At 49.7% G+C, this 17,624-nt stretch overlaps 1 protein-coding gene across 15 annotated transcripts in view, besides 4 other annotated features; it reads right to left on the bottom strand.

Annotated features, from left to right (window-relative positions):
• The window catches only part of RHBDL3 (rhomboid like 3), a 58,830-nt gene that overhangs the window by 20,077 nt on the left and 21,129 nt on the right, over positions 1-17,624 (bottom strand). For 10 of the 15 annotated variants that reach the window (XM_047435507.1, XM_017024275.2, XM_017024273.2 and 7 more), the window contains 3 exons: positions 15,569-15,793; positions 10,143-10,291; positions 6,381-6,493 (listed from right to left, as the gene is read on the bottom strand). In XM_047435507.1, coding sequence (XP_047291463.1) covers positions 6,381-6,493; positions 10,143-10,291; positions 15,569-15,793 — 487 coding nt within the window. Of the gene's footprint in view, positions 1-6,372; positions 6,494-10,142; positions 10,292-15,017; positions 15,511-15,568; positions 15,794-16,215; positions 16,370-17,624 lie in introns of those variants that run through there. The other 5 variants (NM_001363836.1, XM_017024277.2, XM_017024278.2 and 2 more) reach the window with 4 other exon arrangements.
• Positions 314-1,186: an enhancer, noted in NCBI's record as "OCT4-NANOG-H3K27ac-H3K4me1 hESC enhancer chr17:30630418-30631290 (GRCh37/hg19 assembly coordinates)". NCBI's record gives its function as "activates a minimal SCP1, AML or CMV promoter by ChIP-STARR-seq in primed H9 embryonic stem cells {active_cell/tissue: H9 hESC(primed)}" and the evidence as "EXISTENCE:reporter gene assay evidence [ECO:0000049][PMID:30033119]".
• Positions 1,187-2,060: an enhancer, noted in NCBI's record as "OCT4-NANOG-H3K27ac-H3K4me1 hESC enhancer chr17:30629544-30630417 (GRCh37/hg19 assembly coordinates)". NCBI's record gives its function as "activates a minimal SCP1, AML or CMV promoter by ChIP-STARR-seq in primed H9 embryonic stem cells {active_cell/tissue: H9 hESC(primed)}" and the evidence as "EXISTENCE:reporter gene assay evidence [ECO:0000049][PMID:30033119]".
• Positions 5,577-6,207: an enhancer, noted in NCBI's record as "H3K4me1 hESC enhancer chr17:30625397-30626027 (GRCh37/hg19 assembly coordinates)". NCBI's record gives its function as "activates a minimal SCP1, AML or CMV promoter by ChIP-STARR-seq in primed H9 embryonic stem cells {active_cell/tissue: H9 hESC(primed)}" and the evidence as "EXISTENCE:reporter gene assay evidence [ECO:0000049][PMID:30033119]".
• Positions 14,602-15,249: an enhancer, noted in NCBI's record as "OCT4-NANOG-H3K27ac-H3K4me1 hESC enhancer chr17:30616355-30617002 (GRCh37/hg19 assembly coordinates)". NCBI's record gives its function as "activates a minimal SCP1, AML or CMV promoter by ChIP-STARR-seq in naive H9 embryonic stem cells {active_cell/tissue: H9 hESC(naive)}" and the evidence as "EXISTENCE:reporter gene assay evidence [ECO:0000049][PMID:30033119]".

The following is a 17,624-nucleotide window of genomic DNA, read 5'->3' as shown; positions in this document are numbered from 1 at the left end:
CTTCCCTTCAATCCTCAAGACAGCCCTCTGAGGCAGGCGCCAGTAGCCTCATTCCTGAGATGAGGAGACTAAGCCCAGAGTCTCCTGGTAGGAAGTGCCGGAACCAGGATTTGCATCTGGGTCTGCCTGATGCAAAACCCACCCGTGTTCTTGACCAAAGCCTGCACTCTTGGCCTCTCTAGCAGCCACGCCCCAAACTGGCCCAGAGGTTAACCTCCACCTTCTTCCATCTCTCCCTCTGTTCAACAGCATCTAGAAAACTGCTTAGGGTTACGTCCACCCTTCCTCCAGCCCAGCTAAATCACAAAAGGCCAACAGCATCTCTCCAGTGGGGCTCCTTTGGAGGAAACATGTCCTTGAAAAGTCATGGGGAAGAGAGAGAGATGATGTCATACCCTCTGGGGGAAAGGAAGGGTATGCGAGGCTTGGTCTGGGGGATGACAAACTTTTGTCCTGGGAGGGAAGCTGAGCAAAGAAAAGAGGGGAAATTTATTGTTCTGGTCTCATTTAAGTGTGATCAATGCTTTGTCTTCCAAGGGAGGACATGGGAGACTAAAAATAACTAGGAGGTAGAGCCCAGGGCTCAGAGGATGAGAGGTGGCTGGCCTGGGTGAGTGTGCAGAAATTACCACTGGAAAATGCCCAGGGGCTCAAGAGCCAATTAGCTGCTGGAGAAAGGAGGGACAGGCAGAAAGCCAAATTCTGCAGGCTGTATAGGGTGCAAGATCCACGGACTTAGGAGGAGGCTGGGCCCAGCCCAGCAACCAGAGCACCCAAGGACCTGGCAGCAGAGCCCCCTGATAAACTCCTCCACCTCCCCTGCCCCCACCTCCATCAAGGCCTCCCCTACTCACTGAGCTCCTTCAAGAAAGAGAGTCCCCACAACCAATTCTTGGTCTCAAGGGGGATGTAATCTCTCAAAAACAAAAACAAAAACAAAAAAAACCTGTCATGAACTGAGGACTCCCAAGTCCTCCTCCCCTTCCAGGGCAACTATAAATCTTTCATGCCTTCCCTCTGGCTTTAATTAGGTATTGATCTATTGTCAGATAACTTTCTTTTGCTTTTGCTTTTTTTACTGCTTAGCCACAGGGTCAGCCATATATAACAGGAAAGAAAAATCCCAGGGTGGCAAACAAACAGGCAGCAGGATCTGCATGACAAAGGTTTCCCACGCTCTCCTGGTGGGGCTGTCTTCGAAGGCTGCATTGCAGGGCTACAATGAGGGCTGGCTGCCCAAGCTGCTCCTCATTAATTACCTTTTGGACAGAGGAAGCCCCAGCCTCCCTAGGCTGGCTTCTCTTCTCAGAGCAGGTCTGTACAAACTGGCCCAGAGTCCACTCCCTCGCCCCTGCCCCAGCACGGTCCACCAAGGCAGAGCCGCCCCAGGGCAGCCCCAGGCAGGGATGGGCCCCTGCGAGGGTCAAGCTGGCACACACTGACCTTTCCCTCACCCTATCCATGGCTCGGAGTCCTGACCCTAGGGCCAGGGGTCAGCGTAGGATTGTGGCAGGAGTATGGAAGGGGCCTGGCCAGCTAGCTGTGTGACCTTGGGCACAGTCCCTGAATTCTTTGGGCTTCGGTTTTCTTTCATGTCTATAAAATGAGGTCTAAGGCTTTCTGACTTTTGAGCAGCAAAACTCTCTTCAAAGGAAACTTTTCAGGGACGCCCTAACCCATGGAGCAGAACACAGGCAGCAGCTCTGGCTAAGTGGGGATGGGGCCTAGAGAACAGTTTGCCAGTGCTGGAGGGGACCTCCCTGGTTCCTTCCAGATCAGAAATTCAGTGACCTGAGTCTTGGCCTAAGATCCAGGGGCCGCGGCTCGGGTCCCGATTCTGGAACCTCAAAGGTAACGGCCTGAATCCACCTGCCCCCACATTGGTGATATAAAGACTTTTGGGCCAGGTGGGGTGGCTCACCCCTTATGTAATCCCAGCACTTTGGGAGGCTGAGGCAGGCAGATCACCTGAGGTCAGGAGTTCGAGACCAATCTAGCCAACATGGTGAAACCCCATTGCTACTAAAAAAAAATATATATATATATATATATACAAAAATTAGCTGGACATGGTGGCGCATGCATATAGCCCCCCAGCTACTCGGAATGCTGAGGCACAAGAATCGCTTGAACCTGGGAGGCAGAGGTTGCAGTGAGCCGAGATCGTGCCACTACACTCCAGCCTGGATGACAGAGCAAGACTTCGTCTCAAAAAAAACTCCAAAAAACTAAAAAAAAGCAGACTTTCAAGTGACTGCAGGTGAGGCCTGGACTAGAGCAACTGGGAGAGACCAAAGACAAACATGGGGCTGTGTACACATAAACACAGTAATAAAGGCCCTCCCCGGGCAGGAAGTGTGGGCCAGGGAGGAATCCCCTCCAGAGCTCTGAACAATCCTAACAGGTACAGGCAGATAAGACCAGTATGAATTCCACAGAGGTCATGGAGGCAGAGGACTAGGAGAGAATGGCAAACTGGAGTGACATGCCACACCTCTGCACAGAGGCAAACCATGGGCCTTAGTTCTCATCAGGATTACAAATTCTGTATCCTGCACCCCAAAATTCTGAGGTCATGCCAGCACACAGATAAACTGGCAACTTTGCCATAAGGTACAGCTGTGATAATTTTAGCCCAGAAAATTTTAAAGCAGGTGTTCTTCAACATCTTCTTTGGCCTTAAAAAAAATCCAAATAAAAATTGGCAGAACATTTATCTTTAAGTAATGTAACTTTATTTACGTATCTTTCCTTTTTTTTTTTGAGGCAGAGTTTCACTCTTGTTGCCCAGGCTGGGGTGCAATGATGAGATTTCTGCTCACTGCAACCACCGCCTCCTGGGTTCAAGCAATTCTCCTGCCTCAGCTTCCTGAGTAGCTGGGATTACAGGTGGCTGCCATCATGCCCAGCTAATTTTTGTATTTTCAGTAGAGACAGGGTTTCACCATGTTGGCCAGGCTGGTCTCAAACTCCCCATCTCATGTGATCTGCTCGCCTCGGCCTCCCAAAGTGCTGGGATTACAGGTGTGAGCCACCATGCCCGCCAACTTTCCTTTATTCTATAAATATTTATTGCCTAACATGTGCCAAGCCCTGTGCTAGGCCCTGGGGATGCACACGTGGTTAGTAATCTATATAATCTATAATATAAGATTGGTGATATTGATTTTTTTTTTTTTGGTAGAGATGGGGGTCTCACTATGTTGCCCAGGCTGGTCTTGACTTCTGGCCACAAGCAATCCCCTCACCTCAGCCTCCCAAAGTGCTGGGATTACAGGAGTGAGCCACTTTGCCCGGCCCAAGATACTGGTTTTTAAAATACCTACATTGTGTGCCATATAATTGCTAGCCATAAGTGATTTTCACATTGGCCTCAAGCATTGGTTAGAAAGAAGCACAGGGGGCTGCCAGGCGCAGTGGCTCACGCCTGTAATCCCAGCACTTTGGGAGGCCAAGGCGGGTGGATCATGAGGTCAGGAGTTCAATACTAACCTGGCCAAGACGGTGAAACCCCGTCTCTACTAAAAATACAAAAAAATTAGCCGGGCGCGGTGGTGGGCACCTGCAATCCCAGCTATTCAGGAGGCTGAGGCAGAGAATTGCTTGAACGCAAGAGGCGGAGGTTGCAGTGAGCCGAGATCATGCCACTGCACTCCAGCCTGGGTGACACAGTGAGACTCCGTCTCAAAATCAAAAAAAAAAAAGGAAAGAAGCACAGGGCTTGGGAAGGGCTCCTCCCTAGTTCTAGTACTTTTCAGGTAAGCAAATCTGCAAGTCATTTCACCTCCCTGGGCTGCCTGTAAAATGGGAGTGGTAGTACCCACCATATAGGACAGCAGTGATGAGCATAGCATCCACGATCATCCGCAAACCCCTCATCATATGCCTGGAGCATGTATATGCCCCATAGAGGTTAGCTATCCTCATTACAAAGTGTGGATTGGAAACACTTTCACTGGGAAGGAATTAGAGAGTAAGGCTGCCAGACATCTATTAAGGTCTCCTTTGGTTTTTTTCTTTTTTTCTTTTTTGAGACAGGTTCTTGCTCTGTCACCCAGGCTGGAGTGCAGTGGTGTTATCACAGCTCACTGCAGCCTTGCACTTCTGGGCTCAAGCGATCCTCCTGCATCAGCCTCCCAAGTAGCTGGTGGGACTACAGGCCTACACCACCATGCCCAGCTAATTTTTAAAAAACTTTTTGTAGAGACAGGGTCTCCCTATGTTGCTCAGCTTGGCCTGGAACTCTTGGGCTCAAGCGATCTTCCTGCCTTGACCTCCCAAAGTATTGGGATTACAGGTGTGAGCTACTGCACCTGGTCTGCCTTGGTTTCTGACAATAAATTAACTGCAAAAAGGACAAGGACCACCTTTTGGTTCTCGTCATACTATTATAGTGGTTGAGATCACAGCCTTGGGGGTCAGACCCTGCCCAGCTCCACCACTTTCTAGCTGTGTCTTCTTGGGCGAGCCACTTAGCCATCTAAGCCTTGGTTTCCATATCTGTGCTGGGGGAGAGCAGCAGTGCCCACCTCGTAGCGTTGCTGTGTGGATGAATTACGGCCTGCATATGGTAGGCACTGATAAGTGCCACCCGTCCAATCTAGGGCTGGCTGGCTGTAAACCGGCTCACCTCTCAGAGGAAAGCTTGGGAGGACAGGAAAGGGTAGACAGCAGAGACAGATCAATCAACTCAATCATGGAGATCAATGACATGTGTGGTGACCAGAGTGCCCTCTGGTCTTAATCACTGACTCAGACAGAACAGTGCACGCCATGTGCTCAATGATACAGCCCTACATGCTCACATTCAGGTGATGAGCTCTGCTTCTGTTTGAATCTTCCCACTCTGCACTGGTGTCACTGGGGAGGTGACACCTACTCTGTCTCCCCACTGCATGTCACCTGGTTTGGGTGAGGTCTGAGTCCATTTGAATCTTATTTTTGTCTTCTAGGTTATTGGCATTCCCATCTAATTGAATACTAACTGCAAATGTTATTAATGTCTTCCCTGTTCCTTGCTATTTAACATCTGGGTCTCTGGGTATTGAGGTATGGAAAATGAGGCTATCAATCCTCAGATGTCAGGATTAGGGGGTGTGTGGGTGGCTGAACAAGTCTGGCACTTAGAGATGCTCATTAGCCCTTTATTCAAGGACGTGGTGAGCCTTGGATTCTGGGAGGGGCTTGCAGGGGTGCTGACCAAGGTGGCCAACGATTTTAACCTCAGCGCATACAGGAGCAAAGGAGATGGTGCAGGGTGAATCTCCCAGGCCAAGGGTTCATGCACTAGCAGACCAGCCTCGTGTGGGTGGGGTGGGACCCTTCCTCTTTGATTTCTGAAACCACTTCAGTTACTCCCAGGGTCCCTGCCTGCCTGTTGTTTACAAGGCTGACGCTGCCCGGCTCTCCTGATGACAACTTTAATACCACTCAGAAAGGATTAAGATCTTACTTAAACATACACACAAAGCTCCCTTGGGCACAGCTGTCAAGCTGAAGAGCTGAGGCGGCAAACCTTGTTAAAAAAAAAAAAAAAAACAGCCGGCAATAAAGTTGGAGACATCACGAGGGAGATCCTCATGTTCAGAGGCCTGGCTGGCAGACGCTTCCTGCAGAAATCCGTGCTCTCCCCAGCTAACTTCACCCACCTCACCTCCCACTGGGGAGGGGGCAGAAGGTGGAAGGCTCACTGGGAGTCACTCTGGCCACTATCCATGAAGGATGATCACTGGCCACACGTGTGCCCACTCAGCTGGAGGCCCAGATGCCTTCAGATGGAGCCAGGGCTCACTGCCTCTTAGGTCAGACTCCCTGTCAGCAGTGGGTCAGGCAAGGGGACTGCGGTTGGTCTGGGTAGCAGCCAGCTCTCTTTTTGGGGACAGGTGCTACGTGGCCAGGGTGGTACCTGGCTCCACTCACCCCTTTGATTCCCCTGTGGGGATCTCACTGTGCCCTTGCAGTTTTCGGAGCACTGTTGTTCCATCTGTTGCCTCACTCACTCTGCCCTCCTGGCAACCCTACAGGCAGATCTCATTAGTTCCCTCTTAAAGCTTAACATGGCCAAAAGAGGTTAGGAAATTTCCCCAAGCTCAGAGAGCTACCACATGGTGGTGTGAGACCGAGAGTCGGTTGTCCAGCCTGTCCCAAATCCAGTGCTCTCCTCCCCCGTCCTGCCACACACCTCCCTCTATGGGCAGCAGTCCGTTCTCCAGCCTCATAGGGAGGTGGGTGTGCCTGGAGGACAGCCTGGTTAAGTCAGGAGCCTTGGAGATGAGGATCTTCTGTGTGTCCTGGAAACCTGGGGCTTGCCCCGCCCCACAGGGTCTCCCACCCCACCCTGGGGCAGTGTGCCTTTGTGGACACGGGGCCTACCTGCCTACCTGCCACAACACCGGCCACGTAGACAAGCCCAATTCGGGTGGCTCCATGCACCATCTCCAGGGGCACCCCCACCAGCAGCTGCAGCACCACATTGAGTCCCAGGTGTTCTATCCTGTGACAGAGAGACCACACTCACTCATTCATCTATTCATTCATTCATTCATTCATTCATTCAACAAACACCTGCATCCCCCAAGATGCCAGGGATCCAGCAATGAACAAGACCACCTCTGCCTGCGAGGAGCTCATGGTCTAGGGGAAGGAATGACAATTCAGACAGACCATCTTGGAAAGAGTGTTCCTTCCAGATGGGACAGGAACAGATGTGCAAGGCCTGGGCGTGACTGGCAGCATTTCACTTGGCACAGTGAGACAGACTAACCACAGTCAAGATCCAGCAACTAGGCTGGGCGCAGTGGCCCACACCTGTAAGCCCAACACTTTGAGAGGCCAGGGTGGGAGGACCACTTGAACCCAGGAGTTCAAGATCAGCCTAGGCAACATAGTGAGATACCATCTCTGAAAAAAAAAAAAAAAAAAAAAAAAAAAAAGATCCAGCAACTCCATCAGTTAACATGTGAAAAACCAAGGTTCAGAGATAGTGACCAGCCACAGTTAGTGGCCACGCTGACACAACAGTTCAGGTCTCCAATCTGCCTGACCTGCTCCATTCACTGGGCCATGTGGTCATTCTGGCTCTCTTTGTTTTTTGTTTGTTTGTTTTTGTTTTGTTTTGTTTTTTGAGATGGAGTGTTGCTCTGTCAACTAGGCTGGAATGCAGTGGCATGATCTCAGCTCACTGCAACCTCTGCCTCCTGGGTTCAAGCGATTCTCCTGTCTCAGCCTCCCAAGTAGTTGGGATTACAGGCCACCATGCCCGGCTAATTTTTGTATTTTTAGTAGAGATGGGGTTTCACCATGTTAGGCAGGCTGGTCTCGAACTCCTGACCTCAAGTGATCCACTCGCCTCGGCCTCCCAAAGTTTTGGGATTACAGGCATGAGCCACTGCGCCTGGCCATGTTCTGGCTCTATTTGTAAGAGCTATGGATGTTAGCCAGGCGTGGTGGCTCATGCCTGTAATCCTAGCACTGCAGGAGGCCCAGACAGGTGGATCACCTGAGGTCAGGAGTTCGAGACCAGCCTGGCCAGCGTGGTGAAACCCCGTCTTTACTAAAAATATGAAAATTAGGCATGGTGGCAGGTGCCTGTACTCCCAGCTACTAGAGAAGCTGAGGCTGGCAGGTGCCTGTAATCCCAGCTACTCGGGAAGCTGAGGCAGGAGAATAGCTTGAACCTGGGAGGTGGAGGTTGCAGTGAGCCGAGATCGCACCATTGCACTCCAGCCTGGGCAAAAGAGCGAGATTCCTTCTCAAAAAATAAAATAAAATAAAATAAAATAAAATAAAATAAAATAAAATAAAATAAAAAAGAGCTACGGGTGTTTAAAGAAAAATATGTTCTCAAAACAAGTGCAGGCATTAAATATACATCTTATAACTTAATAATTCAAAGCTTTCCCTTAAAGTCTCATAAGAGAGGTTTCTCTTTACTGGTATAAGAAGAGATCTAGGCCAGGTGCGGTGGCTCAAGCCTGTAATCCTGGCACTTTGGGAGGCTGAGGTGGGCGGATCACAACGTCAGGAGTTCAAGACCAACCTGGCCAATATGGTGAAACCCTATCTCTACTAAAAATACAAAAATAAGCTGGGAGTGGTGGCATGCACCTGTAGTCCCAGCTACTCAGGGGGCTGAGGAAGGAGAATCGCTTGAACCCAGGAGGTGGTGGCTGCAGTGAGCCAAGATCGCGCCACTGCACTCCAGCCTGGGTGACACAACGAGACTCCATCTCAAAAAAAAAAAAAAAAAAAAAAGAGACCTATTCTGCTCCAAAACCCTCAGGACTAGGATATGGGATCCCAGGTTTTCTGTTTTTTTTCTTTTTTCTTTTTTTTTTTTTTTTGAGATGGAGTCTCTTTCTGTCATCCAGGCAGTCTCTCTCACACCATCCATGCGGTGGTGTGATCTCGGCTCACTGCAAGCTCTGCCTCCTGGGTTCATGCCATTCTCCTGCCTCAGCCTCCCGAGTAGGTGGGACTACAGGCGCCTGCCACCAGGCCTGGCTAATTTTTTTGTATTTTTCAGTAGAGACGGGGTTTCACCATGTTAGCCAGGATGGTCTTGATCTCCTGACCTCGTGATCCGCCTGCCTTGGCCCCCCAAAGTGCTGGGATTACAGGCGTGAGCCACCGCGCCCGGCTGGACCCCAGGTTTTCTGACCCTGTGAACACCTTCCTCCCTATACTACCTGTGACTACATCTTGCTGCTAAAATTGTGGGGCATCTAGCTGTGTGCATGTGACCAGAAAAGACTGTAACATGACTATTACTAAATCAATCAGGTGCTTCCAACTTTATACAGCACTTTAACACCCACTGTCTCATTTAAATTGAGCTGACATCCCCTGGGAAGCTCCTGGGACAGGGCTCAGATGCCCTCAGCTCACTGCTTTTGGCTCCAGGAGGCAGAGGATGGAGCAAGGAGGCTTTGGCTATTCTCCTTCCTCACCCTGAGGCACCAAGAGAGGTCAGGGGGCAGTCCTGGAAAGAAGGCAGACAGTCCCAACCCACGTGCAGCCACTGGCTTGGGATGCCTGGGCAGGGAAGCCCCCGTGTCTGTTGTCACCCCTGGCTCATGAGTGGATGTGAGTGAAGCATGACAGCCATCCCGCTGCTCCTTAGCCCTGTAAGATCGAAGCCTGGGGCAAGCCAGACAAGGTAAGCAGCATGTACCAATGGTCCTCTTTGGCCTGAGCAGAGGCGTTCATTCAGGTCTCTTCACCCGAAAGCACCCTCCCCCGCAGGTGCAGCCAATTTGGGATTAGCTCTTGCACCTGCTTTAGAGGCTAAGGGGAAGGGAGGCTCATGGGACAACTCCCTCTTGGCCATTGTGGGTCTTTCTGCTGAGCAATGGGAATTATGGCGTCATTGGGGCCAGAGTGACCCCCTTCCCAGTTCCCACTCCAGGGCCAGGCACCCCCACGGTTTTCCCCAGGCTAACTGTGAGCTCCTTCACTTCTCTGGAGAGGCTACAGAAGAGAAGACACCACAGAGGCCTGGTGTCTGGGGTCTCTCCTCTCCCATCAAAGTGCTTCTACCATATAAAAGCCTCCAGACTGCTCTTCAAGGGATATGGACCTGGGTGGTCACCTGGCCAGCTGGTAGGCCCTTATCATGAAGTGGGAGGCACCAGTGAGAACCGATTGTGCTGCAGCCCCAAAACAGGCTACAGGGTTCTATAAACAGAAACTATAATTATCGTCAGAGTTCCTCAAGAAGACCCTCTCTATATATGGAGACCACACTGGGAGGCACTCACACACAGTTATGGACAATAAATCTGGTGGCTTGACTCCCTTTTTGCTCTAGTGGCCAAAGCAAAAGCTCTAGGAAGCCACTAGGAAGCACTAGAATAAATTTTCAAGCCACGTCTAGCAAGTACATAGAATCAAATGCTGTGTATGTGTGTGCTGTTCTCACTGCTGGCTTTTAGCATTTTCCTTCTTATATATTTTCCCCTTTCCCATTCACTCTCAATAATTTACTTGTATATTTTGGTATTAAATGAGTTTCAAGCAGCCATCCCAAATCCTATGTCCAAATAGATAAAAATAAACTAAAAACTATATTTCAATCCAGGCTATCTTGACCACTTATTTTTCTGTAGGGTCTTTTGACAGAGCAAAAGAAGACAGGTACTCACCCTGCATGCATGAAGATGTATGTCAGGTAGCGCCAAACCTGTGCTCGCAGCTGTGGGTGGTAAACCAGGGAGTTCTTCAAGTAACGTGGATGAGTTACCTGCAGTACAAATTGACCTAGTGACACCCCATTGTAGAGGAAAAAGGCAACCTGGACAGAAGAGAGAGAGTCTGTTACTAGGTGCACACTGCCCAGGAAACTTCCTGTTGTGCTGACTAGCACTGGGAGTCCCTACAGGAAGTTATCACCTTTCCTTCTCAGAGAAAGAGGGATACCCCACAGCCAGGGCCCAACTGAGTTTTTTTTTTTTTTTTTGAGATGGAGTTTCGCTCTTGTTGTCCAGGCTGGAGTGCAATGGCACAATCTCGGTTCACGGCAACCTCCACCTCCTGGGTTCAAGCGATTCTCCTGCCTCAGCCTCCTGAGTAGCTGGGATTACAGGCATGTGCCACCACGCCTGGCTAATTTTGTATTTTTTAGTAGAGACTGGGTTTCTCCATGTTGGTCAAGCTGGTCTTGAACTCCTGACCTCAGGTGATCCACCCGCCTTGGCCTCCCAAAGTGCTACAATTACAGGCGTGAGCCACTGTGCCTGTCTCAGCTGAGCTTTTAACCACCCCTCACCCACTTCTGTTTGCTTATTTTGTGTCAAATGGCCGCAACATGGTCCTGGGGTCTCTTTGTCCACACTTCCTCCGTGCTAAGCAGAAAGGATTTGGAGGATTTTGAACTTTAATTCCAGTAATAACTCACGCACCCACTTGGGAGATGACGAATTCCACATAGCTTGATTTCTTAAATAACTATAGTGAAATAAACATAAAATTTACCATCTTAATCAGTTTTTTGGGTTTTTTTTTTTTTGAGACAGGGTCTTGCTCTGTCGTCCAGGCTGGAGTGCAATGATAGTCTTGGCTCACTGCAACCTCCGCCTCCCGGGTTCAAGCGATTATCCTACCTCAGCCTCCCAAGTATCTGGGATTACAGGAGTGCACCACCACACCTGGCTGATTTTTGAATTTTTAGTAGAGATGGGGTTTCACCATGTTGGCCAGGCCAGTTTAGAACTCCTAACCTCATGTGACCTGCCCACCTCGGCCTCCCAAAGTGCTGGGATTACAGGCATGAGCCACTGCGCCCGGCCTTAATCAGTTCAGTGGCATTAAATGACATTCATGTTGCTGCGCTACCATCACTACTATCCATCCACAGAACTCTTCATTTGCAAAACTGAAACTCTGTACCCACTGAACAATGACGCCCCACCCCCTCCCTCCAGCCCCTGGCAACCACCATTCTACTTTCTATCTCCATGAATTTGACTACTCTAGCTACCTCATATAAGTGGAATCATACAGTATTTGTCTTTTTGTGTCTGGCTTATTTCACTTGGTATAATATTTTCAAGGTTCATCCATGTTGTGTAGCATGTGTCAGAATGATCCCCCTTTTTTTTGAGACAGGATCTCACTCTGTTGCCCTGGCTAGAATGCAGTGGGGCAGTCTCAGCTTGCAACTTCTACCTCCTGGCTGGTCTTGAACTCCTGGGCTCAAGCGATCTTCCTGCCTCCTCAAGTGCTGAGATTATAGGCATGAGCCACTGCACCCAGCCTTCCCTTCCTTTTTTTTTTTTTTTTTTTTTGAGGTGGAGTCTCGCTCTGTCGCCCAGGCTGGAGTGCAGTGGCGTGATCTCAGCTCACTGCAAACTCTACCTCCCAGGTTCAAGCAATTCTCCTGCCTCAGCCTCCCAAGTAGCTGGGATTAGACGTGTGCCACCATGCCCAGCTAATTTTTGTATTTTTAGTAGAGACAGCATTTCACCATGTTAACCAGGCTATCTCGAACTCCCGACCTCAGGTGATCCACCTTCTTCAGCCTCACAAAGTGCTGGTATTACCAGCGTGAGCCCTCCACTATAAACACAGACCACATTTTGTTTCTCCATTCATCTACCGATGGACACTTGGGTTGCTTCTACCTTTTGACTATTGTGAATAATGCTATTATGAATATGGGTGTATCAATATCTCTTCCAGTCCCTTTCAATTCTTTTGGGATATATTCAGAAGTGGAATTGCTGGATCATATGGTAATTCTATGTTTAATTTTTTGAGGCAACGCCAGACTGTTTTCCATAGCAGCTGCACCATTTTACTTTCCCACCAACAGTGCACAAGGGCTCCAATTTCTCCACATTCTCACCAACATTCCACAGAAGTTGATTTTGCAAACGTGACTGAAGCATACTTGTTTAATCTCTAAAAGGGTATTTAACTCTTTTTTTTTTCTGGGACTCCTTCTAAAATGTATCATTTACGTCCCTGTGTTCTTAATCAGGGCATATGCATAACTGTTTAAGAATATCTCAGGTATGGGCTGGGCACAGTGGCTCACGCCTGTAATCCCAGCACTTTGGGAGGCCGAGGCGGGCAGATCACAAGGTCAGGAGTTTGAGACCAGACTGACCAATGTGGTGAAACCCCGTCTCTACTAAAAATATGAAAATTAGCCGGGCGTGGTGGCAGGCACCTGTAACCCCAGCTACTCAGGAGGCTGAGGCAGGAGAATTGCTTGAACCCAGCCGGCGGAGGTTGCAGTGAGCCAAGATTGCGCCACGGCATTCCAGCCTGGGTGACAGAGGGAGACTCTGTCTAAAAAAAAAAAAAAAAAAAGGAATATCTCAGGTATTGATCTGGGCTATAAGAGTGATTTGTTTCTCCAGCAACCCCAGGAAGATGACATTTTTTGTTTGTTTTTGTTTTGAAATAAGAGTCTTGTTCTGTCACCCAGGCTGGAGTGCAGTGGCACAGTCTCGGCTCACTGCAACCTCTGCCTCCTGAGTTCAGGCAAGTCTCATGTCTCAGCCTCCTGAGTAGCTGGGATTACAGGCACCCACCATGATACACGACTAATTTTTGTATTTTTAGTAGAGACGGGGTTTTACCACGTTGCCCAGGCTGGTCTTGAAATCCTGACCTCAATGACCCACCCGCCTCGGCCTCCCAAGGTGCTGGAATTACAGGCGTGAGCCACTGTGCCCGGCCAGGATAGTGTTTTTGCTCATACACTCAAGGTCCTAAATTCTTTTTTTTTTTTCTTTTTTTCTTTTTTGAGACGGAGTCTTGCTCTGTCGCCCAGGCTGGAGTGCAGTGGCACGATCTTGGCTCACTGCAACCTCCGCCTCCCGGGTTCAAGCAATTCTCCTGCCTCAGCCTCCCCAGTAGCTGGGATTACAGGCACCCACCACCATGCCTGGCTAATTTTTATATTTTTAGTAGAGACAGGGTTTCACCATGTTGGCCAGGCTGGTCTTAAATTCCTAACCTCAAGTGATCCGCCCACCTCGGCCTTTGAAAGTGCTGGGATTACAGGTGTGAGCCACCACGTCCGGCCAATCCCCCAAATTCTTGTATTTCTTTTCCTTTTTTTTTTTTTTTTTTCTTGAGACAGGGTCTCGCTCTGTCACTCAGGCTGGAGTGATGTGGCATGGACACAGCTCACTACAGCCTTGACCTCCTGGGCTGAAGCGATCCTCTTGCCACAGCCTCCCACGTAGCTAGGACCACAGGCATGTACCACCATGCCTGGCTAATTTTTTGATATTTTGTAGAGACAGTCTCACTTTTTTGTCCAGACTCATCTTGAATTCCTGGGCTCAAGAGATCCTCCCACCCTGACCTCCCAAAGTGCTGGCATTACAGGTGTGAACCACTGCACTCAGCCAATTCTTTTATTTCTTTAAGATTCAGGTCTGCTTTAAACTTTTCTTTTGTCACTTCCTTCACTGCCAGGCTGTCGGCTGCTGTTTCTTATTGCTTGCTGGTAGTGGACCCCTTTGTTGCTTTACACCATGTCCCTCCTATTTTCTATTCATTATGAAATCCGAAAGCCAGGTTACCAGAACTGTATAGAAGACAAAAGCCTTGGGCATTGTAGCCCCAGGGCTTCGAGATCGTTATTTCAGCTATTTGATCACTTCCCAGTTTCTTCTAGATTGGTGGTTCGGGTTTACATAGCTGAGGTTCATCTGAACCAATCTGGACACAAAATTGCTCCTCTTGATCAACCTGGGCAAACTGAATTCTCTGGCCCTCAGTTTCTTTATCTGGAAATGGGTACCGATACCTAGACTTCCAGAGTGGCCAGGAGGTTTAAAAGTGATAAACTATACACAAAGAGCCAGCCCCCTGCCCGGCACACACTTAGAGAAGGAAGCTATAATTCGTGTTGGGTTAAAATCTTCTGGGCTCAGCCTGGGAATGGCTTAGGCCCCTGGTAGCTGTATTCTCCTGGGCTCTCTGAGGAGCCGTTCTGTCCACCTAATACCATGAGGGTGGCCTGGTAGCAAATCCTGCTTCCAAGGCATCTCGTTATTATTGGGCCTCAAACAGAAGTTAATAAATAGACCAGCACAGTAAGCGCTTGAAGAACGAGTCCAAGAATATCTCAGAAAAATCGCAACTTCAACATGTACTTGGATGAAGCCATAACAACAAACAGGGGAATGCTGGCCTGCAGACCAGATATTCTGACTTAGAAGAAAAGAAGGATGCCGCGAAGCTTTTGATTAGGCAGGAACTTTACAAGAACATATGCAGAGGCGGTAATTAGGCCCGTGGCTTTGGAAGAGAAACAGCGGAGATCATAAAATCCCAAAGTGAAGCCAAGCATCCATTCAGGAGCTGCAGCTGGGGTGGGCTGCACAGGTTGTTGAGTGGAGGACCCAAAAGAATTGAGTTTTATCACACATGGGCACCAACGCAGCAAGGGGTACCTTTGGATTCTGTTGCATAAGCAGTAGAATTTAGCATAACAATAGGCACAGAGGATTCCCTAAGGGGAGAATGTTCTTTAAAAATGTTAAGCCCATATTTACCTGTTCACACTCCCTCCCAGATGTGTTTGTGTGATGCTTTTGTGTTCAGAAAGCACCAGTAGCCATTCTCTCACTTTAAATAAAGGTGTCCTGGGAGAGGGAAGGCAGGTCTGGTTATTTCTGATTTTCAGGCGGGAAAAAGGAGCAAATGACTGGTCCACATTACCCACCTAGGGAGGAACTAAATAAACTGGCTTTAATGAGTTAGCCTGGCTAGATCTCCCAAGTCAATGAACTTATGACATTGTTTTTATTGCTGTTGTTTTGGGGTGGGTGGGGGGTAGTGGTCCTACGGGGATTTGGCTGCAGTAAGTATTGTTTGAAGTAATAATCTTTGGAATATCTCTTTGCAGTCCACGGTTACAACACTGGTATGCACCGCAACAGAGTCTGATTTGCAATACAACTATTATTTGATCCTCAACCATTGCCCTTCAATGGAAAAGAAATGTCCCTCTTCCCCCATGATCTGTGTGTCATCCTCTTGGCTCCTCTCCCCATACCCGCCACTCCCCAAGGCAGAGCAACCCCCTCCCCACCCTTGTCCTTGCCTCCAGCAGCGTGACTGTGATCATGAACCAGGGTGGGGGGCAGCAGGTGTAGCTGTCATAGTACCACTTGCGGTCAATTTCCCGGGGCAGGGTCTCATAGGCCACATGGCGGATAAGTCGCTGCGAGAGGCTCAGCCCCTTCTCCTCCAGCAGGGCCTTGCTGCTTAGCCTGCGGTTGCCCTGCAGGATGGCTTGGCGGAAGCTGTTGGAACGCTTGTTGCTCATCTGTGCAGGAAATGGAGTGGGGAGAGGGTCAGAGCTGGGGCCCAGCGGAGCTCCCCACCCACTTCCCAGCCAGCATGTTCCTTGCACCAGGCCTGACCCCGCATTTCCCTTTCTCCTATAATTGTTAATAAGAAGCAACATTCACCAAGGTCTTGTTAGGTGTCAGGGGTTATTATTCTCAGCCCTTCACGTCTTTTGGCTCATTTGATGATCACCAGTCTTCCCGTTAGATAAGGACTATTAACATCCCCATTCTATTGGATTAGGAAACTGAGACACCGAGAGCTTTAGGAATCCATCAAGTTCACACTCAGTAAGGCTCCAGAGCCCGTATTTGTGTTCACTATACCTTCCTTCATCTACTCACTCATCATCCATCCATCACAATTTACTGAGCAACTACTAAGTGTCAGGCTCATTACCAGGCACAGGGAGGGATACGGTGGTGCTCAAGACAGATTAGTAACCAGCAATCACAGTTCAGAGTGATGGTTGCTGTGGGAGCACACAAGAGGGAGCCCAATCCAGTCCCAGGGAGGTCAGAGGTCAAGGAAGGCTTCCTGGAGTAGGTGAAGTCTGAGTGAGAATCAAAAGATGAGCAGGAGGTAGCACCCTCAGACACGCTAGCTTGGGAAGAGGCAGGCAGCCCTTGGTTAGATGGGTTTGCAGAGAGGCACCCAGAGCCAAAACCCAAGCTGTGCCTGGGGAAGGTCACCACTCCCGAGGGCCTTCACAGGACCTGGAATGCCCAGCAAGCCCAAAGACTGGCTGCAGAGCTCCACCTGGGGACCAGCTCTATCCTCAGCGGCCTGAAGCTTCTCTGACACATACTGGGTAGAGCTCTGGCAGCCTCACCCAGTGGTCAGCCTGACTCGGAGACCAGAGGTGGCCTTGCTGACTCCTGGCCTCCCGAGGCCTCCGTTACCTCCCACCTGCCTTCCACGGCCAACTGTAGACCCTTCTTACGGGGAGAAGTCCTAGAGATATGGCTCTCCCAAGCCCACACCTCAGCTGTCCCTATGTTTGCTGGTGTGGGGATTATCAGTGTATTCCTGGGACTCTAGGCCCAGCAGTAGACATCAGGCTAAACCCGAAGGCAGGAGCCCTGTGGGCTGGTGAGGTAAACCAGGCCAGACCACGGCACAGGGGTTGTAGGCCCTGTCAGAGGGCAGATGGCTGGGGAGGATCTAGGTTCAGACCAGGCCAGGTGGTGTGAACTTCCATCTATAGGGTCCCCCCACCTCACATTCCTGAGCTCTGTTGTCTCATAGTCAAAATCTAGCTTAAAGCTCGCCCCCTCCAGCAGGCCATCCCAGATGAACCTTTTCCAACCATTCTCTATCCCCATTCTCTCCATGCCTACAAAGCTTGGACCTAGTTCTTCTCAATGGCCCAGGAGCTCTGTAAATGTAGGCCAGGGTTAGGCGCCTGGTGCACATTGTGAGCCCAAGACAGGATCACGATGTCAGATTATTTTGTGGCCACTCTCACCTGTCTCTCTCCCAGTCCCTGAGGATGCACCTGCACAGGGGAGTGCACAGCACCCGTGGTGGGAGCTGGCTCAGCAGGGGTACACACTCACCATCCACCTGCGTCCCTCACATGCCCAGTGCTGTGCTGGGCACAGTCCATGACCATGGTCCCAGGCCTCATGGAGCTTACAAGTGGAGACAGAAGTGTAAAAACAGTAAAAAAGGGTGCCATCATAGTTATTTGGCACCCCGTATTATTCCGACATTACAAATATGGGGACTGAAGCTTGGAGAGGGTGAGTAGTTTCCCCGGGTACTCATACTTAGTAAACCACAGAGTCAGGATTCAAATACAGATC

Source organism: Homo sapiens, chromosome 17 (genome assembly GCF_000001405.40).
Source record: "Homo sapiens chromosome 17, GRCh38.p14 Primary Assembly".
In the NCBI taxonomy this organism is placed as follows: Eukaryota; Metazoa; Chordata; class Mammalia; order Primates; family Hominidae; genus Homo; species Homo sapiens.
Note: the sequence above shows the minus strand (reverse complement) of the source record. Positions and strands in the feature narration are given on the sequence as shown.